The following is a 23,042-nucleotide window of genomic DNA, read 5'->3' as shown; positions in this document are numbered from 1 at the left end:
TAGTTATGTAGAAACTGAGGTTCTCATTATCACACTTAACATCGTCACAACCTATCCCTCTGGCTCTTTCAACGTTTGCTAGAATTTACATTTTCTGAGCATGCTTCAAGTGCAAGACACTGGTCTAGGGCCCTTGATATGTCCTATAAGGTAGCTATATATAATTCCTATTCTATAGATGTGAAAATTGAAGCTTGGAGGTGGTAAGTTCATTCAAACATGGAAGCATTTAACTACCTACTGTATGACAGAAACCTGAATACAAAAATGAGGAAGTAGTTAGTGACTTTGGAAAGGTTATAATCTACTGGGGAGATCCCAAGGACACCCACTTGAGAAGCTGCGGAACTCGAAACGGAACTCAAACCAATGGAATTACAAAACCTGCGTTCTTTTCCCTACACTAACGACCACATCTGCTTTGTACTTAACTGGCTACTAGCACGATCTTGGTCTGTCCTGCCTGAAACTGACTACCATGCCCAGGCCAATACAAATTACCATGACTGTGAAAGTACAGTTCAGTTAGATTTACAGAGATATTTATAAATTAGAGCAGAAACTCACGATAAACAAGAAAGACCTCTGTAATACACAATAGGGAGAACAGAGATTCTAAATAAAGAGTATACTTACTCACTAGGGTTATAATTAGATGTTGTGCTACCAACATGTCGATTTAAGAGTTCATGATTGACAATATTTATACCAAAGCCTAAAATACGTAACATATGAGATGTGTGTGTGTGCGCGCGCGTGTGCGCGCATGTGTTTATCTAAAAAGGTGGTTAAAAAGGGGTAGACCAGAAGTTCCAGACTTACCTTGGCTGATTATCAGCAATCCATTTGCCTATAGAGATCAAGCGTTGCTGTCGTATTCGTCGTTGCTGGCCTTCTTTGTCCCCTGTAATACCCTGGTGACCTTTGGAAAAATCCAAGTTCCTAAAATTGACACAAGCAAGTTATGAGAATATTAAATTGCTAAAGATATTTTCCAGGCAACCAAGTTCACCTGATTAACTGTAATGGCTTCAGATTACTTCCCACATAGGTTAGCTACTTGATGTAATCAACTGCATTTATTAGAATTTATACTACCAGAGATTTTTACAAACTATGAAACAAAGCAGAAAAGAAAATATACAAATTCATTACATTAATGTAATATTTTTACTCACATTTCACTTTCTAGTCAGGGAGCTCAAATAAACCACAACTTTTTATTAGGAAAGATTCTTTTATCATTTTAAGAATAAAGTTTTATAAACATTTATCTTGCATGCCAAGTAATTTGCTTGAAATGACCATGGCAATGCTAAGAGTCTCTGAGGTGCCTATTTTAATAAATAATATTAATCTATCCACTTTGTGGTGGACCATTCTAAATCAGAAAAATGTATAAATATCGTAAAGCATATAGAATAACTCATTGATATCAGAAGGGTAAACCAACCTGAAAAAATAAAGATTTTTCAGATTTCTCCTTATTAAACTTTTTTTTTTTTTAAGAAGATTTAAGAATTGCCAGGCAGAAGGCTAGATGCTGAGGACACAAAGATAAATAAGAGTCCCTACCTTTGGGAATAAATAATTATGATTCAATCTGATAAGCATAATAAGAACTATGTAAAGAATTAAGTGAATATAGTAAAAGGAGGATGAGTTCCTTCTGAGAAGCTCTGAAAGGTTTCATAGAGTGATACCTGAGCTGGACCTTGACAGGTATGGCTAAGTGCTTACCAGGCTGGTGATGGAAGGGCAGTAGAGGAGAAGGAAATGTTCTAGGCACAACATGAACAAAGGTGTGGAGGAATAAAAATAGTGAGCTATTCAAGTATAGCACATAGTGTATAGAGTTTATAAATACTGGGGGAAATGGAAGAAAATAAGGCTGAACAACTAGGAGCTGGATAGTGCTGGAACTTGAGCATCAAGCTAAAAGAGACAGTGGAGCAACTGGGAATGGGTAAATAAAAATATTAGTCATGCAACATCACTATTTCCATACTTAAAAACTATAGGCAGTGTAGAAACAGACTATAGGAGGAGAAGAACTATACGTAGGAAGGTTTTTATACTTCAGGTAAACTGGTGAGAAAAGCCTGAACTATGTATAGGGAAATAAACGGAAGGACTTGAACCTAAGAAGCATTTCAGACACATAATTATAAAGGCTTGGTGAGAAAGACAAATAGAAACAAGGGTTTTTCAGATTTCTAGCTTGGTCATATAGATGGGTAATGCCACAGGCACAGACAGAAAATAGAGAAAGAAGATTGCTTTTTGGCTGACCAAATCGGAAAATATAAGCTCAGTTTTTGGTCACGTTAAAGTTTAAAATGCGTAAGGGAGGTCAGATTGTTAGAATATGCATCCAAACTTCAAGAGAAGTCAAAGCTGAAAATTTGGGACATACCATTCAAGAGACATAGGGATGGATTTGATTAACAGGGTGAATGTACAAAGTGAGAAGGAAAGGGCAAGAAAAGAATCCTGGAAAACAACAACATTCAGAGGCATGTAGTTTAAAAGAAATAGTGAAAAAGACTGAGTGCTAAGGGTGGGAAAAATTGCATCACAGAGCTAAGGAAAAAGGTTTCATGAAGGAAGGAAATCGACGGACTCAATGCTGAAGAAAATTCAATAGGATAAAGACTATAGTCACTGGATTTTGGTATCTAGAAGGCACTGATAGTTTAAACCACAGTAGGCTGAAAATGATCAGGAGTTGAAGTGGAGTCAGTCAGGTTGGCCCACGCTACTCTTTTTTTTTTGAGACGGAGTCTCACTCTGTCACCCAGGCTGGAGTGCAGTGGCGTGATCTCTCAGCTCACTGCAGCCTCTGCCTCCTGGGTTCAAGCGATTCTCCTGCCTCAGCTTCCTGGGTAGCTGGGACTATAGGCACCCGCCACCATGCCCGGCTAATTTTTTTTTTTGTATTTTTAGTAGAGACGGGGTTTCACCGGGTTAGCCAGGATGGTCTCGATCTCCTGACCTCATGATTCACCTGCCTCCGCCTCCCAAAGTGCATACTACTCTTTTTAAGAAGTTTGATGATGAAAAGATAAGGCAACGTAGGAAAATAGAGGGATGTAAATTCATTTTACCTTTTTAAAAGAATGGGGCACACTTAAATGTTACTAGGCTAAAGATAATTAGTTGTTTAAAAAAGAAAGGAAAGAAAGACAAGACACTGGAAATACAATGCAGAGAGGATAACAGATGGAGCAAGGTTCTTAGGGAGGTGAGAAGGGATGGGATCAAGGGCACAGATGGAAAGGTTACATTTTAATTTTTATTACACAGGAATTGAAGGCGTGACATACACAAATCCAATTCACAACAACTTTCAGTATTAGTTGACGTTACAAAAATAACACACAGCTGGGACAGATCAAAGGTTCCTCTACATCCAAGCCCAATTCTCTGCTAATTTTAATACTGCAATCACTGGCAATGATAAAGGTACTTCAGCTATCACCTACCTGAAAGAAGGTCTCAATGCCAAAAATCCTTGTAATTCAAACTCCTCTGGAAGTGGTGTCGCTAAAGGGTCAAAATCAAAATTTGCAAACATTTTAATTAAAATGTTGTTTGGTGGAATACTGTTCACTAAATTTTTTTAAAAATTAACATACAGAAAGAAATTATAATGCTTATTGTTCTCTGCTCTTCTTTATCATGATCCTGATGAAAATAACTCACCTGTCAAAACTCTGCATGTTATCTTTGGGACACAGACATTCCCCTAACACTCACCTAATACTCAATGCTGAGGAGAATGGCTTTTTAAAAAATCAGCAGTCTTAAAAATTCATAGTCTTGGATCCAGTAAGCCCAATGTTTAGATTACCTGTCTCTTTTTACTGAAAGTATTGAATAACATTGACATCATCTGAGAGCTTGTAAGAAATGCAGAATCTTGGGCACTAATTCAAACCTACTGAATCATAAACTGTATTTTAAAAAGATTCAGGTGATTTATGTGCAAATTAATGCCTGAGGAGCATGGATTTAAGAGGAAAAAAAAAGTCAGAAAGAAGCCAAGCCAGAGGTTGTTCAGTGCAGCATTATTTATTTATAATGGGGAAAATTTTAAAGCAACAGAAAGTGCGTAAATAGATTATAGCACTTCCATAGGATGGAATATTATGAAGCCAGTAAAAGTCATGTTTTCAAAATGCTTAATGACAAAAGAAAATGCTAACAATATAATACTAAATTTCAAAATCAGGCACAAAACTTTATTTGATATGAATCATTTCCTGTGTGTGTGTACACACGTAAGAAAAAGGCCCGAAGAAGATATACTATCGTGACTAGTAAAAGGTATCTCTGTATGGGAGATTTGTGTTCTTTTTCTTTGTACCAAATTTTCTACGATGAGTAAGTATTACTTTGACAGAGCAATGTTCATGTTAATTGCTTTTTTTAAAATAGTAAGAATGAGGAGGAAGGAATGAAAGAATCTGAAGGTATTACACTCTCTGAACTCCTATTTGAATGATGCTAAATGAGAATAAGCTGCCAGAAGAACTGGGAGAACATTATCTACTTCCACCCACCCACTTATGTAGAGTTCACAGTCACTTCTGAGATACTGAATTTAAAATCAATCATTCATCACCAAAAACCTCTTTTTCTCTGGCATTAAGCCACCATTAATGATGGAGAACCACATCAACAACACAAGGTTAGGGTAGCCCTTACCACTAATACTTGAGAGGTCCTCTTCATGGGGATGGAAACTATTCAGAAGAGAAATCAACCAGGGCCAAATGCTGTAAATTAAAGAAAGAGTTCAGACTTTATTTTTATGTAAGAGAAACCAGAACACTAATAAGCCATGAAAATGGTATCTATAGGTCCTGGACTTTATGTATTTTTCCCTTATTTCAGCATTTCAAAGGCTGTATAATTTTTAAAAATGTACTTTCAAAGATACACTAGATAATGATAAAGATACAACAAAAGGGACAAATTTCCATGACAGAGACCTACTACCACTGTAGATCATTTCCCATGCTCCTAATTCAACAAATGGTGAAAATAATTTGTCAGTTTTAAACATGGAAAACTGAAATAGGCTGAGAAAATTCTGAGCAAAGAAATAACATACTATGTTTTTATAGAGCTTTCACATACATTATGAGTTGTGGAAGCCGCTGTTAGTTCTTTAATCTGTGACAGGGTATGGTTATACCACACAAATCACATTCCCTGTTCAAAGTGATAATGCCTCTTTTTTTATGGTACAAAAAGTCCACATTTTTACAAAAGCCTTAACTCTAAACTCTGTTTCTTAATACACAATTTTTGTGAAAGCTTACACATGAAATATTAGAACATATTCTTTCCACTATTCAGAAGTACGTACTATATATGTATTTGTTAACTGTGTCCTTGGTTCCTGAGTGAGGTATGTTAAAGTTTCCATTATGGATACAGATTTATAAATATCACTTTACATATAAACATTTGTATCAAAATCTCTGTTATCTTTCAAACATAAGAGCAATTTATAAATCTGATGTATTATATATGACAGGGCAAGATTTTTGAAGTGAGACAAATCCAAGTAGTTTGAGTGTTCATTTGCTGGGGTGAGGAATAGATGTGATGGGTGGAAGTAGCCATGTTGCTTAAAATTATTTGGTTAAAGTAATTAGCTTAAAATAATTGGTTTTGGCCTGGAAACAATTACTTTGATTTTCCTACAGTAGACTCATCTGTCTAATCACATTCTCCTTAATATGAAGCTTACCTCTGAATATGTATCAACCAATTTTTATTAAAAAAGAAAGAAAGAAAAAGAAAAGCATGAGGTGAAGTGCCCAGGATAGAGAAACTGGACGTAAATAATCACACTACGGAAAATTGTAAGTTAACTATTTGGGACAGTTGTACACTCTGAAATATGGGAATATGCTACTTTAAAAATATCAACAAATATATACACATATTAAAAATATATAAACAAATATTGAAGAATAAACGTCTGCTACAAACCTTTGGAGATGTAACAGATTACAAGAGATAGTTGGAAAAAAAGGTCAGTAAACTAAAAGAGAATACTATACTGTACAATGTCTTCATGCAACACACATAAGCTCTCGAGAAAACACTGTAGAAAAAGCGCATGAGTGGATTACCTAATGATATACTGCTTTACCCTATAACTATTTTCTACAAAGGAAAATCACTATTCCATGTATTCATTAGCTTAAGAGAGTATGTTCTCAAAAAAGTACAAGGGAAAGTAAATTCTAGAAATTGAGAAGGCCCAGATATAAGAAACTGAAGATTATTTGAATATACATAAAATTCTGAGTTCACAAAAGAAACAGTCATTGTTTTTCCATTACTTAAAAGATATAAATGAACATTATAACTTTAGTGTATTAGACACACAAGGAAAAATCTTCAGTTTTAAAGTGATATCCCATGCTAGTCTTTAAAATGAGTACTAACATAATTTAACACAGAATCAAACACCTACAAGGGCATAATTCTAAAGATTTTGGTAAATCTGATAGGAGGAAGTGGAAAGAGTAAATGACAGAAAAAAATGGAGGGAAAAAATGTTTGCCAATAAAGCTGTTCCTTCTGGTTCAACATCTTTTGCCATGAGAAGAAATGGGAACACACAGAATGGGCCAAAAGGATCACTGTACAAGAACAACAATAAGAAAAAACAAAACACAATGAAAATAACAATTCCTACCCATAAATATAAAAACTCTATAAGCAAATGGTAAAACATGCAGTTCTTCTTTTGTAACATTACTGATATAATATATTGAATTAAACATAAATTTGAGTTCTAGAGTACACAAGAGTAGAAAAACTGTATAGCCTGAGTTAAGAAATAAAAATTTTATGCAAGGAAGCAATGTCTGAAAATCCGTATTACTAAAACCAATGCTAACATTAAAAGGAGATGTATATAGTATGCTGTGCTATGTTCCTAAACTCTATTCATGATAATGTCAATATATCATGGAAAGAGCTTATAACTACATGAGAGAAAAGACAATTATGAAGCAGACAGACCATAAGGTCTTTCTTTTTTTTTTTTTGAGACAGGCTGGAGTACAATGGCGCGATCTCAGCTCACCGCAACCTCTGCTTCCTGGGTTCAAGCGATTTTCCTGTCTCAGCCTCCCGAAGTGGTGGGATTACAGGCATATGCCACAATGCCTGGCTAATATCTTTTGTATTTTTAGTAAAAGAGATGGGGTTTCACCATGTTGGCCAGGCTGGTCTCAAACTCCTGACCTCAAGTGATCCGCCTGCCTCAGCCTCCCCAAGTGCTGGGATTACAGGCATGAGCCACAGTGCTTGGCCCACAGGGTCTTAAATGTGGCTTAAAAAAGGCATTTTCTAAGTTGTGACCTTGGTCAATATACATGCTGGGCCACAAAGCAAAACTTTCAAAGAGATTCTCCTTAAATATACCATCAAAATATGCAGGGGAGGAACTTCCTATTTGGTGCCAAGCCACCTTGGAAGTATTTATTTCTATAATCAAAGGTACACTGAAAGTTTTCATTTGTCATTGTAAAATCAATGGTTCCTAAGAGCTGTCAGAATTACTGTGAGTAGAGATGACAGAGAAAATGGTGAGAATCAAAATAACTTTCAATCTTTATGCTTCAAATAAACAAATATTATTCAAATTGAGTGTTACTGTAAGGCAACATCAAACAGTTCATGTACAGAAAAAAATGGAATAAAAATCTCTTCCCTTCAACTCAAACAAAAAATTAAGGAATACTGTAATAGATAAGAAACAAACTGGTTTTACTTCAAGTTCACTTTGAAATGTGAAAAATGCCTTTTCCCCAGGACAGCAACTGGGAACAAGGGAGTGTACAAGGAGTCACAAATCCTTAAGACTAAGCCTCACATGAAGAATTCAAATAAACAAATGAAAAGCGTACAAAGAGGTCTTCAGTTCAATTCCCGAGAGTCGGCAGAAAATACAGTATTCTATTGTTCAAATGTTGTATTTTAGAAGGCAGTTTTTACATATTTATGGATATCAAACAAACAAAGCACACAAGTTAACATGAAATTCTAAAAATACTTACTACTGTCTTTCATCCACCACTGCCTCCTGAAAGACCCTGGGTCTGAGTCTTAGCCAGTCCATGGAGACCTTGACTGCTGGAAGAGGATAGGCATTGTAGGACTCCTCCTGAGACTCATTCTGTAGAGGACACTTGCACAGGATGCCAAGAAAAGACACTTGAAAAAAAAATGTATTCAAAAAGCATAAGAAATATGAAACTGTGCCAGTTCAAATTAAAATATTATGTGCCTTCTACTATATTCTGTTTAACACTTGAGTATCTTACAGCTTCTTTCTAAAAAGACGCTTTCTTTCCCATATTAAAAATGTTATAGTTACAACTTGATGAGGGGGTATCAGCAGATAAAAGGATAGAACTTGGGGTTGAAAGTTATTATGAACTCCTGATTCAGTGTAAGAAATACACTATGCTTTTTTATGTCACTGTGCTTTGCTACATCGATGAAATGCCTAAGATGATGTTTTTCAAAAAAGATGGCACATGTTAAGTAATTCAATACTCACTAAAGAGGGCCAGCAACTGTGTCCAACATAGCTGCTCATCTTGGCTATAAGTGTGCTGCTCGGTTTCATTGCTAAAGTCACGAAGGTGATGAAGTTGAAACAGGTTAATGACAGTGACATGAACTAACTGCTGAGAGTTGAAAGCTTTTTGGAATAGCAGCCTCTGTAAAAGAAGACAGACGTACTGCATATATTATCAAGAACAGGAACCATCTTTGACACAAGAAATTAAACTGGTAGTCTGCATTTAGAACCACCATGTGTAATAGAATTACAGATGAGTAAATGGTTCTGCCCTCAATCCCAGTATTTTGACTGGGTCTAATTATTTCCCAAACTGACTTTTTGTCTTGAAAGGAATTAATCTAGACACCACAGAGTTGTTTGAATTGTTTATCAACAAACTTTTTTCTCCTAGGAAACTATATATTTTTAAATATGACCTGACAAAAGTCTTTGAGTGTTCATCCATAAATTTATACAACTTAATCCTTTAGAAATTGTTTTATACAAGATGTATACATATTAAAATATTAAGTTGGGACAAATGACTAGAAAGCAACAGACTCAAAAAATAATTTTTTGAACTCCCAGTACATAAAGCATGACTTCCCAGATTTGTCATAAAATTTACTCTTTCAGAGGCTTGATACATTAAAACTTATTTTATAAACAAGGCATAGCAAGTACATATTCTGGAACACAGGGTAAATGGCATACTAAAACAACATTAGGATGTATTATAGGTACTTCTACAAATTATCAACTGGTATTTTCCCCTCTTAGAGAAGTACATGCGTGATCATCAAATTTCATTTACCTTCTAATAACTGTGTTCACAGTGATCTGTTAACCAGCACTATAAAAAATCACCCAGATGCTCTCAGTTGGTGTCTCAATGGAATTACCCTTCTACTTTAATATCTGCAATTATTTTAGATTACCTGCAGGCAAAAATACTTTTCTAACAGAAGTTCCTAGTTTCATCCTACACTTTAGCCATAGCCAGTCTTCCTCTATGCCCAGGGGAAATTTTTGCAGAGAGCAGGGATTCATTATCACTAGCATTATGGCGGAAAACAGATAATCCTTACTTACAGTTCTACCAGCAGTGACAGGAGATCCTACCATGTCAGAAACTTACAGCTGTCTCTGCCCAGACTACTCTGAGATTTTTGTTTTTATTTACATAAAGAACCTGAAATAGCCATAGTAAGCTCTACGATTCTAAGAGGGAAGTCTTTTACATTATCATTAGAGAATATAATTCCATTCTACATGAACTCTTTCTATCACACTGTCAGTCTTCTTGCAATCTATTTCATTGTATATGTCTAGAATGATTAGCCCTTTTCCAAAGACATCAAGCATTAATCTTTCCTCAAAATTTCCTGAAATCCTGTCTCTTCTCTAGAATTTTCCCACAAAATTTCTCCTTCAGTTTCTACAACTAACCTTCTAAATCAGCTGGCGTTTATTCAAATAATACTGGCATAAAATGAGAATATGTAGTTGTATTTCTCAAAAAGCAGTTTCTTACAAGCACAATATGGTAATGTATTTCCTGTATCTATAAATCCGCTGGCATTAATTTTAGAAGGCAATATCCTACTGAAGAGGGTCACAGCCCATTAAAGAATTTTCTAGCGTATGCACAGAAGTATTAATGAATATGAATACACCCTAGTACTAACAAATGATAATATAAGTTCATGAAGGTCCAGACTTTGTCATGTTTTCCCCTATATCTCTAAAAGCCTAGAAAAGTGCATGGTACATAGCGGGTACTTAATAAACACTTAGTGAATGAACAACCTATCCATTCAGAAATAAGGTTGAAGTTATTCAGTTGTAATTTCCTAAAATTTAGATTATATTGTAGAGAGTCTTCCAAGGAATAAAGTCAGATTAGAACTGATAAGATTTTTGCTACTCAAACTTTCAACTACAGTTGAGAAATATACTGAAATAAATACCATTAACAAACAGCCCACATTTAACTTACAGAAAATGTATTACATCTCAATTCCCAGATCCCAGGCCTTAAATCCCTTAGTGGACCTCAACTTGGTAAACATTTCTGCTTAGTAGCTAAAGGTTGTTAGAAACACTGAAGTATACATGTTGATGATACTAATTATCTACATATGCTTTAGAAATACTTTGGAAATTTTACTCCACTATGTTAAAATTTCACTCCAGCAATGTTCTAGTTCAACACTGGGTAAGCTTTCAAATAGATCTGCCTCATACTATGTTTTATGTTTAACTTTAGAGTGCTGGAATGATACTTCAAAGTATATTTTAGAAACTGCCCACCCACACTTACCAGAACTTCACATACAGAAATATATATGTGAAGAGAGTGTTAGTGTTTGAGGTTGAACCAAATGCAAAACTTACTAGGTTTTTAGACTAGAATAACTTAGTTAGTGAAGATCTCATTAAGGTAGGGACCACCCACCACCACCAATTTAGAGAGTATTTCACAGAACCAGAGCTGGAAGCAATCTCAAGAAGTTTTCTAGTCCAATCCCCTATTTAGTAGGACTGCACTTAAATAATCCAAGAAAGATGGCTGTCAATCTGACTGTTAAGCTCTCCAAAATGGAGAATCCACAACATCCCACGGTCAGCCCCCTATAGATTTCAACTTAAAATTTAAGATTTTAGTTTTGACTTCAGGAAAGATACAGGTATGTTCTTTTCAAATAATCCTTCACATGTCTGAATACTTACTATGAAAACTATTTAGACTTGTTTGTTCTTTTCCAGGCTGAACAGCCTAGGACATGACAAAGTTAGCTGTTCCTTTCACACACCCAACCTTATACATCATATGTCACAGGCTAAGTATATTTTAAAACAAAACAAACTATTGCTATTTATAATTATCTATTCTAATATCTTGCACATAGAAAGTATCAACCAAAAAGCGATTACCTGTAAAAACTATTTCGCATTGACTATTTTTGGCTAAGTGACACCTTAACTGTCCAAGTTCTACAATCTCTTAAAATGCCTGACTTATAAAGAACTTACAGAAATACTATGAAGCAGTTATACACAATTACCCAAGTATATAGATACCTAGAAATAACCAAGAAATATAAAATGTTCTTTGAAATTGTCATTTACTGTTTAACACAGTGCCTAAAACAATGACCGATGAGTAGTCAAATATTTATTTGAATACATGAACTGAAAAAAAGTTAATACTTTTGACTTTCTCCTTATTTTATGCATTATACATTTAAACTGCTAATATCTTAACATACTAATAAAAGATCATTTTCACATATATAAATAGAATGAAGGTTAATGTTATCTCTTCAAATTAGTAAAATATATCCCTGTTAAATGAAACTCTCATTCCTTTCATTCAAACTACCACAATCCTGATGAATGCAAGCACAATAAAAATAATGAACTTGGTTTGGAGAATGCCAATATCTATAAAGCAGGTAACATAATCATATCTAAGAATACACAAACCATCAAAAGTAGTAGTAGTTTCAAAACTGAGGAGTTATTTATTTTTTTCCACTTTGATAATTTTTGTCAAATGGCAACTACTCAAGTGAAAACACTGCTATATTATATTTGTTTATACAGACTGTACCTCAGTTTAAATTGAAGGGATGATAAATGCAAAGATTTCACATACTTCGAATATAATTTTTACCAATAGTTCACACAGTTAAGTAACTACAAAAACTGGGAGTCAGTTTCCTCCAAATGTTATGCTTCCTGATTTAGACAAGACAAAAATTCTCTATTTCTGAAATCTAACCTTAAACTGTTCTTCCAATTTCTCTCGAAGAGGGCTCAACTTTTCCAAGCTCTTACTCAGGTACACATGACCGTGGAATTTAATAAAGGCCTTGATGAAGTCAGAAACACCCCACTTGGTTTTCACCTCATCTCGGCTGAAATGAAAGAAAAAAATTCCATGAATCATAAGCAGCAAATTGGCTACAACTGTTTAAGGAGGCACTGGCTTGCTAAATACTTGATACACAAAAGAGCTGTATTTGACTGATTTTTCAACTGCAACACACTCAAGATGAGTCAGTATTAACAGCCTGTGTACTCTTTTACTGGGACTGAATCAGATATTGATTGGATGAAATTCAGTGACTATACACAAATTATGAAAAATCTATATGTTTAGAAATAAGAGAAGCATAGGCCGTTATTTTCTGTAAACCAAATTATGAGGAATTAAGGCTCCAGGTTACAAAGTCCTCTTGGAAAGAGAAAAAAAAAACCAAACAACCCTACCTTTCCAGTGCTTTAGAAAGTGCTTTTTGCAGATTAGTGGAGGCAGCTGGGAAAGGGAACTTCACAGCAATGCTTCTGCAGTAGTAGAAAATTGTGGTCAGATGGTCTCCTTTGGAAGAAGCTAAGATAGCCAACTGATTATAAGGCTGACCTACAGGAGAAAGTTAAGATTCTGGAGTAACCCCAAGAGTGACAAAGTCTTGCTATAAGAATACAAATGATCAGTGTTTAAATACTCAAACAATGGGGAGTATTTTTATAAGGTAAATATGACTGCCTCATTGCAAACCAGCGTAAGGTCCAACAGCACACTTCAGCGACAGTACACACTATCATATACAGGTTAAACAGTCAATATTAGGGTAGAGAGCGGCTTCAGCAAGGGCTAGATTATAAATAATTTCAGTTTTGTAGGCCAAAGGGTCTCTATCACAACCACTCAACTCTGCCACTGTAGTGTGAAAGCAGCCATAAACAAATATGAAACAAGTAGTGTGGTCAGACTATCATCCCTGCTTTAGACTCTTTCTAGAATCTAAAGGAATTTCAACGTCTTAGTAAGAATGATTTAAATAATTAAATATCTGCTGTAATTTCTGTAACTCAAGAACTACTGCTAATGCCTAGTTTGGGGCCATTAAAAGATTATCTTTTAGGTAATAGATTGTTTTTCTGGGGGGAGGGGAATGGTGGTATCTAAAGAAATAATTATTCTATAAGCAATTAAGGAAGCCAGAGTTGTAGAAACAATATCAGATTACATTAAGAGATTCTATCTATATTGCTTTACTGACAATAATAAATAATAAAATAAAATAAATAATAAAAGTCATCTTACTTGTAAAAAAAATTCATTTTAGTTTACATGGAATGTACAGTTAAATGGAAAAACATGACAATAACAAAACTCATTTATTGCTTTCATAAAACTTCAAAGGTGAGCCCTGAGTTATCTGCCACATTGTTATAAAGAACAAAGTGTCACGGTCAATCTCAGGTTGACAGGTCCACTCACCATTGGAGGGGACAAGCTGAGCTGCATGCCTATAGTAGGACTCTGCCTGGCTGGTCTGGTTTCTGTATCGAGCTAAGAAGAAGAAAATTAGTTTTAAAAAACCCAAAAAACAAACAGTAGGGTAGTATTTCCAAAACAGCTATAGTTTTAAGTTCTAAAGATAATAAAGACATTAAAGTTAATTTAAAATTAAAGACAAAATACTTTAAAACAAATTAACTATAGGATTATGTGTGAAGTGTCCATCAGCCTTCCTTATTTGGGACATTCAGCATGTAACCAATTTTAAAGCTTACCTAGACCCCATTTTCAGGTCCTCCAGTGTCATGCATCACCAGCTCCCACTATGGACTATGCTGGTGACCTGGAGCCGGCCCACAAGAAGGGGTGAGTTATATGGCACTTAAAAACAAAACAAAACAAAATACACTATACAATATGATCTGAAAATTATGTATTTTTCAATATTTTATAAAGTGATTTTGAAAAATGTCTCATTCCTATTGCAATATTAAATATGTGTGTGCAAAGATTATATTTAAAGCAAAACAACCTAAACACAGTATCAATGAATCTCCCTGCCAAACTCACTGCTTACTCTGATGTGACCTCCTCATGGAACCGCTGACTTACAATATTAAGAAATCTAAAATTTCAAACTTAAAAGCAGTAATGTTCTCCATTCTTTGTTATTTGAGGACAAGCAAAACATAATCCTATAGTTAATTTGTTTTACAACCTTTCTAGGTCACCTTAAAGGAATGAACAAGAATAAATAAGTTATATAATATTCCCAGATAAAATGCAAATAATAGAAATACAAATTAAACTTTAAAAAGGAAGCAAAATTAAAAATCAACTTTTAGTCCATTGGTAAGAAAGAAAGAAGGCAATTTCGCTTCAGGAGTAATTTATAAACCTCATTTATTCCAGAAGAGTACATTTAATTTAGAAATTATGGCACCACTTTGAAAAATTAAGCTTTGATTATGTTTTTGCTGTTTATTATTTGCCTATATAAATTACATAAAGTTGGAATAAAATTTAAATCTTAATATGAAAGTTACTTTCTTCACGATGCTCTGCCAATCCCAAAAATATTGAGAAATTTTAAGTTCCTTAGAATACATTTTATAGTTTCTTCTTATGACAATCTAAATTGTGTGTGTATGCTCCGCTTAAAGGAAAACAGTTTCTTTCTATGACTATTCCAAAGAAAAGGAGGAACATATTATCAATTCCTTCACAGCAAAGGCTCACCAATGTCTCCAAGGTGGACGAGGCAGTGCTGGCAGATATAGGAACAGGAGCTAGACTGTGGCTTCACTATGGCGCTGGTATGCGTCTGTTTATTGCTGATAATTCCCAATTGGGAAGACTTCACACGGCATGGTAAATCTACATTAAATACTGTACACAGTTCTTGTAATAACTAAAAGAAAAACAAACAAAATTTAGTAGTAAGTCACAAGTGCTCTAAAAGTAAAGTTTATAAACTGTAAGATGTGTACCTAGTACCACATACTGCTGAAATCTGAACAAAAACTGCATGAAAATTATATGGTAATCTTTCGGGCCTGGCACAGGGGCTCACGCCTATAATCCCAGCACTTTAGGAGGCCAAGGCGGGCGGATCACTTGAGCTCAGGAGTTTGAGACCAGCCTGGCCAACATGATGAAACCCCGTCTCTACTAAAAATACAAAAAAAAAATCAGCCGGGAGTGGTGGTGAGCACCTGTAGTCTCAGCTACAAGGGAGGCTGAGGCACAAGAATCGCTTGAACCCAGGAGGCGGAGGTTGCAGTGAGCCGAGATCACGCCACTGCACTCCAGCCTGGGTGAGAGAGCAAGACTGTCTCCAAAAAAAAAAATATATATATATATATATATTATACGTTAATCTTTCACAGGATAACTAGTATCATTCATTATAAATCATACCTTTTGAATTCTCAAGTATTACAGCAATCTAGGATGTGCATACAGCAGCATTTTAAAAAAAGATTATTTAACTGGATAGGATTTTCAGACACGATTTTCAGACACATTAAGCAAGCAAAGAAAGCTACTACTCTCAGAAACCCAAAAATTATTAAATATTGGTTACAAATTTGACTTAAATGTAAGCCAAGGTATTTGTCAGACTTTAGGTATTTCTTGCAATTTATTTTCTTAAGCTGTATGCCAATTCACATGTCTTTGCATATACAACGAATCTCACCGTAGTGTACACCTTTACTGTATCACCCATTCCTACCTCCTCTCTTCTCTGTTCTTAAAGTATGAGGGGCTCTTCTTCCTAGTCAGAGCTAACTCTTCTGCCTATGTGTGCCTATTGCTACATTCTTTTCTGGTTCCTGTCTGTCTCCCACCTCTCCATTCTTTCATCTACTGTCAACTTTTCATGCTTCTTTCCTATGGCCTACACACCACGTCTCCCACAGAAAAAAACAAGAACAAAAAACAAAACAGAGCTAAAACACTCTCCTCTTGACTTTATAGCAACCTTTTAATGTCTCTCCTTCTTCTCAACCAAATGCCTTCAAAGGAGTCCACACTTTTCATATCTGCTTTCTCAATTTCTATTTACTCCTTAATCCATTATCATCTGGCTTCCACACAACCCCTCTCCCTCCTCTCACCCAACCATCCATTACCACTCTACTGAAACTACTATCAGACAATTGGTTACCTAATAGCCAAATACAACGGATATTTTTCAGACATCATCTTATTGGACCTCTTTGCTGCACTTAAAACATCTGATCTTATGGTTGATTACTGAGCTGTTCTAGTTCTCTGTCATCTCTCCAATCACTCCTTTTCAGTCTCCTTCATAGAAAGGCTTTTCTCCTCTCACTTTGCTTGCCAAGGGCTTATTTCTTGCCCCGCACACAGTTCTTCACACTGTGAAGAATATTTACTTCACAGTTATTCAAATATTTACTTACAAATATCGTCATTCAAATATTATTATATTCATCCAAGTATGTGCTAGTATATCAGACACCCAGTAAACAAGAAAGATACAAAGACAAGTAAGAAAATATGTTTCCTTCATGAGCTTGTAGCTAAATGGGCAAGTCAGGTACAAAAAGAGAAGTAGAGGGGAGAGAGGGAGGGAGAGGGAAAAGGGAAAGGAGAGAAGGACAGACAACATGACACACAATATAACCAACAGAATATTCTACATTTATAACGTAACTTATTTCCCTAGGTTATCTGATAAATTTGTCTCACTTTATCCTTGTGATAAACTAGTAGCAACACAGTATACATAGATATAAAGCTCAATTTTTTTCAGATGAGGATGTGAAGGCAGAAATAATCAAGCGACTGGACTAAGGTTATAGAATTAGAAATATTTTGATTCTATCACCACTCTTTCTAGCATGTACAGAATTCAAAATACAAAATAAGACACCCTAAGGGCTCAACTCAGAAGGATCTGAATCATGCCACCTTTTTCCTAAGATAAAAATCACCTCCATAACTAAATATAAATTCTGCGCACCCTTTCTCACTGGGCATGGAAATTATTTACTCCATCTTTACTTGTACATTTGTAATGGGCAAGAAATTCACTAACATAAAATTGGGTAAACAAGGCCAGGCATGGTAGCTCATGCCTGTAATCCCAACACTTTGGGAGGTCAAGGCGGAAGGATCACTTGAGGTCAGGAGTTCAAGACCAGCCTGGACAGCAAAGCAAGAATCTGTCTCTACAAAATAAACAAATGAATGAATATAAAAATGAAAATAAAGTGAAACAAAAAATTAGCCACGTGTGGTGGCATGCAGTGCTATAGTCCCCGTACTTTGGAAGGGTGAGGCGGGAGGCTCACTTAAGCCCCAGAGTTCCAGGCCGCAGTGAGCTATGATATACACTGCACTCCAGCCTGGGTGACAGAGAGAGACCCCGTCTTAAAAAATGAATAAATAAAATAAAATAAAATGAATACATAAAAAAACAGGGTAAATAAGTTAATGTCCTGAACGGGATGGGTTAAGAAATAGAAAAAGCACAAGGCACAGGGCAGGAACAAAAAAAATATATATATGTAAATATATATATACCTACATATATATTATGAAAAAAACAAAAAACAAAAGTGGATAACTAAGAAACATGAGAGGGTTAAAGAACTGACTTCAATAGGTAATGAAAAAACAGACTGGAAAACTAGGCAAGGCTGCACATCTAGCAAAAACAAAAAAGAAAGATCACAAAAAATAAATAAAATTATGGTTGGAACATCATGTAGAATGTCTTGTAATAAAATTTCTGCCTGAGCCCAAGAGTTTAAGTGGTGATATCAGACAGAAAAGCTCCTACTGGCTCAAAGATTCTGAGAAAGAGAGCTCTAGTTGGTTTAGAGGCAGTAACAAGATGGAACTAAAGAAGAGAAAAGGATGTTTCATAAATTGAACAAAACAATGTCCTACCTTCATATAGGTTGACCCTGATGTACATTACTTTGTAGTAGTTTCCTCAGTCTGATAAGAACTTAGTTACTTCATTATACAGAAGTATTGACTGGGAGATATTCCTAAGGCTGTAGCTGAATATTAATGCCTCTAGTTCTTCCCAAATTATAATCATGGAACTATAAAACTGGAAAATGAACCTATAAGCATTTGTCAACTCTCTTTTTTACAATCAGAAAGCTAAGCACCACAGAGGTAGTGACTTGTCCAAATAGTCACAATTAGCCCTAGAGCAGTACTAGAACAGTTTCTGGGTTCCTATTTATCAATTTTTACACTATCTCTTGTCTCCTCAGCTCTTTATTCCATGCCAAGAATGAAAGATTGATTATGAAGGTATAGAATATTACCTTTTAAACTAATACAGAAACTCAGTGATTATACTTTCTTTTTGGTTCCTATTTTCTTAGAATAAAGGCTACCGTTCTGTTCTTTGATGTTTAAAAACAACCTACAGCAGAATGGTATGTCTTTACTTTGACCAGGAATTTGGTTCTGCTTTAAGCCCCATGCTTTAACTGGTTAACAAAATGGTAGCTAAGAAGTTAAAACTAAACCAGCCTGGGTAACATAGTGAGACTCCATTCTACAAAAAATAAAAAAAGGTAGCTGGTATGAGCCTGTAGTCCTAGGTATTTGGGAGGCTGAGGTGGGGAAGGATCACTTGAGCCAAGGAGTCTGAGGCTTCAGTGAGCTATGATTAAGCACCGTACTCAGCCAAAATGATAGAGTGAGCGCCTGTCTTTAAAAAAAAAAAACAAAAAACTAAAAAACTATCTTCACAGAAAATGTTACTGTGGATAACCAAGTACTAGTCTCTTCTCAATCCACTCTAATCAGGTTTCTATCCCCAACACTGCTGAAGTTACATTTCATCAATACAAAGACACCATAAATTATAAGATGAACCATCATCTTATATAATATTGAGAAAAAACCACAAGTTATATGGTCACTTGTCATCTGTTATAAACTTATCTCTATTTCAGATATGTTAAAATATGAAAAAAAAAGTTTCAGAAATGAAGAAATATGGTATTCATTAAGTTCACCAATGACTTTCATGTTGTCAAACCTAATTGGTCACTTTAAATCTTACTTTAATTCTCAGCAGCACTCAACAGGGCTGATGACTCCCTTCCTTATTCAGATGTTTTTCTCTTGGCTTCCAAGGCACCTTCTCTCTCTCATTTTCTTGATTGCAATGGTGGCTCCTCCTGTGCTAAATCTGTTACCATCTGACTAAGTCAGGGTTCTTTACTATAATCATAAAATTTTTATGATTTTATGATGTTTCCACTGGGCTCCAACCTTGTTTATTCAATTGCTTATTTCAAATCTCTACTTAGATGTCAAACAGGCATCTACTTTAATAGGGAAAAAGCTACTTTCCCCCTAGTGTTTCCCATCTCAGTAAATGGTACAACCACTCGACTAGCTGCTCACACTGATAATTGTATTTGCTTTGACTCCTCCTTTACTCTGATTCCAGAAATTCAATCCAATCCATCTAATCCAAGTATGGCCAACAGGAATTAATAGAGTTAACTTCCATAGCTAGCTTCCATAGCTGATCCCTTTATCCAGGGTTATCGTTTAAAAATGCAAATCTGATCATGTTCTTCCTTTGCTTACTTTCCAACTCCAGTGACTTGCAACTCCTTCTTTTTTTTTTTTTTTTGAGACAAGGTCTCACTCTGTCACCCAGGCAGGTGGCGCAAATATGGCTCACTGCAACCTCAACCTCCTGGGCTCAAGTGATCCTCCTGCCTCAGCTTCCTAGAGTAGCTGGTACTACAGGTGTGCGCCACCGTGCCTGGTTGATTTTTAGATTCTTTGTAGAATAGGGTCTCACCACGTTACCCAGGCTGGTCTCAAGTGATCCTCCCATCTCAGCTTCCCAAAGTGTCAGGATTACAGGAATGAGCCACCATGCCTGGCCTGCAACTACACTTAAAATTAAAATTCAAAACTCATCTTAGCTTATAAGGCCATATAACAATCTGGAATTTGTCTACTTTCTCAATCTGGTGCTAAATATGCACTGCATGTAATCAAGAAAGATTTGTGGAACACTATTGTTAGTAACACCATTATCCGTTTCAATTATTGATTAAAGACAATATAAAAATGCAAGTGAGGCCAGGTGCAGTGGCTCACGCCTGTAATCCCAGCACTTAGGGGAGGCAGAGGTGGGTGGATCACCTGAGGTCAGAAGTTTGAGACCAGCCTGGCCAACATGGCGAAAGTCCATCTCTACTAAAAATACAAAAATTAGCTGGATGTGATGGTGCGCACCTGTAATCCCAGCTATTCAGGAGGCTGAGGCAGAAGAATCGCTTGAACCCAGGAGGCGGAGGTTGCAGTGAGCGCCACTGCACTCCAGTGGCAGAGATTGTGCCACTGCACTCCAGCCTCCAGCCTGGGCAACAGAGCAAGACTCTGTCTTAAAAAAAAAAAAAAAAAAGCAAGTGAAAAATTCTATTAATATTGTTAACTGATATCATAATGTGAAAATAAAGACGTTTATTGATGCTTATTCTACAATTATCATAATTGCTCAATCACTGCCTGTGGAATGCAGTCGGGGAGAATCAATGCTTATTATAAAAAGTTTTAAAAAAATTTCAGAGAGTATCCATATTTTCCCTTTAAAAAACAATTTTTGAGACATTTACATGATTTTATTATTCCCTTGCTTATAAAATGTTTTTACAAATACCATACTCCCTCAATAAAAATGATGATTCTTTCTTTACTTCCTTACAGATCTGTTTTGGTTTACCAATTTCTAGTTAAACCCTTGGGAATATATCACATGTATGTCATGTAACGAAAAAAGATTAAGAATCATTTTTCAAGATGACAAACCAATCTGTATAATGGCTATTATAAAAATGTACTGCAGAAGGTAGATGCCTTCCCCCTCCCCCCAACAGAGCCAGCTGCACCACCTCCTTCCTACTCCCCCTACTTTAGTCATGTTCCCAGTTCTAGCTTCTATTCATGGGGGAAGGAAATGAGATTTGAATCAGAAACAAAACTAAGGTTTTAAAACTGAATTATGCTTCAAAAATGGAAAGCAACCAGAATGTTATAGAATCTGTCCAAGAAATGATGGGAATCTGGGAATCCAACAGAGCATAGTTGAAAGCAGTGATTGAAAAAAAAGTTACCATTTTCATTAATATCCCACTGAACTGAGACTACTCAATTAACATGTAGAATCAAATTATATATATATAATTTTATATGATTTTCACTTAACAACAACAAAACAATCTTTTCATCTTATAAAATCTTGATAAATATCAACCTGTAATCATTTTGTGTTTCCATTCTACAGTTATGCCATAATTTAACTATTATTCTCTTGTAGAACATTGGTGTTGTTTCCAAATGTTAAGATTTGAATTATAATATCTATTTGTTTCCTTAAATGTGATTATTTCCCTCATTATTAAATATGCACTGATCTATGGACAAAGGAAAAGGTATTGCAAAAAAAAAAAAATCCTGGTAACTTCTGTACTTCAAACAACTCTAAATAAAATGAAAGGACAACAGAAGAAACTAGTGAAAAATGTTATAAATGATGAACTTTTGGGAAAACGACAAAATGGTGTCAACAGTATTTAAACTTTCACTTTAAACTTTCTAATGATTTCAATTTGAACAACTGGTCCTCAGGAAATAATACAGTATTAGAGAAAATGCTTTATACACAAAAATGCTAAACTGTTAACAAGGAAAAGCTTACATTATGTTTATAAAACAGATACAAAAATGGATATATAGTGTGGTCTTAAATATGCAAAAAAGTATAGAAACACAAGAAGAGTATATATTAAAGTGGCAATTTATCCAGAATGGGAGGATTAATGAACTTTTTGGGACTTTGTATAATTCACAAATTTCTTGAAATTGGTATGCATTATTTTTACAATCAGAAAAGAAAACAAATATACTTACTAATGTATCCATCTTTTCATTTAGTCTAGATATTTCTTTGAAGGTAAAGATTCTGTCTAATTTACCTCCATATCCTCAGCATCTAGTATCGTGCCTTACAAATAGTAGCCTTTTGACAGCTACTTGTAAAATGAATTAATCTTTAACATCTGCTTTAAGGACCAATCCCTCTCTCGAGAAGCATTCCCCAAAAAGTATCAACTTTTTGGTTGCTGCTAAAAGTTGGCATAAATTTTAAAATAAATTTTGAGACTAAGAACCATACTTGAGTTCTTTCAAAAATGAACTGTGATGAATGTTTTAGTCTAAGTAAAACATAAATAATCTCAGAAATGACAGTTATCTGAATTGTTCCAACACAGGGATTCTTTTTTTTGAGACAGGTCTTGCTCTGTTGCTCTGGCTGGAGTACAGTGGCACAATCACGGTTCACTGCAGCCTCAAACTCCTGGGCTCAAGTGATCCTCCTGCCTCAGCCTCCAGAGTAGCTGGGATTACAGGCAGGTAGCACCACAACCTGCTTGAATTCCTGGGCTCAAGTGATCCTCCCACCTTGGCTTCCCAAAGTGTTGTGATTACAGGCCTGAGCCACTGCACCCAGCAGAGATTCTTTTCTCTTCATTCAAAGAAATGATAAAATCAGAATGAAGCCAAAATATAGGCAGCAATAGTCAGGCAGTACTA

The 23,042-nt window shown here is 35.4% G+C and overlaps 1 protein-coding gene across 31 annotated transcripts in view; it reads right to left on the bottom strand.

Moving 5' to 3' along the window:
* Window positions 1-23,042, bottom strand: part of SMG7 (SMG7 nonsense mediated mRNA decay factor) — an 81,693-nt gene that overhangs the window by 12,266 nt on the left and 46,385 nt on the right. For 30 of the 31 annotated variants that reach the window (NM_001394134.1, NM_001394138.1, NM_001394140.1 and 27 more), the window contains 9 exons: window positions 15,159-15,330; window positions 13,899-13,970; window positions 12,884-13,034; window positions 12,393-12,528; window positions 8,600-8,762; window positions 8,094-8,250; window positions 4,711-4,781; window positions 3,486-3,546; window positions 823-942 (listed from right to left, as the gene is read on the bottom strand). In NM_001394134.1, the coding sequence (NP_001381063.1) occupies window positions 823-942; window positions 3,486-3,546; window positions 4,711-4,781; window positions 8,094-8,250; window positions 8,600-8,762; window positions 12,393-12,528; window positions 12,884-13,034; window positions 13,899-13,970; window positions 15,159-15,330 (1,103 nt within the window). Of the gene's footprint in view, window positions 1-822; window positions 943-3,485; window positions 3,547-4,710; window positions 4,782-8,093; window positions 8,251-8,599; window positions 8,763-12,392; window positions 12,529-12,883; window positions 13,035-13,898; window positions 13,971-14,194; window positions 14,214-15,158; window positions 15,331-23,042 lie in introns of those variants that run through there. The other variant, XM_047435749.1, reaches the window with a different exon arrangement.

Source organism: Homo sapiens, chromosome 1 (assembly GCF_000001405.40).
Source record: "Homo sapiens chromosome 1, GRCh38.p14 Primary Assembly".
NCBI lineage: Eukaryota > Metazoa > Chordata > Mammalia > Primates > Hominidae > Homo > Homo sapiens.
This window is presented reverse-complemented; position numbering and strand designations above follow the sequence as displayed.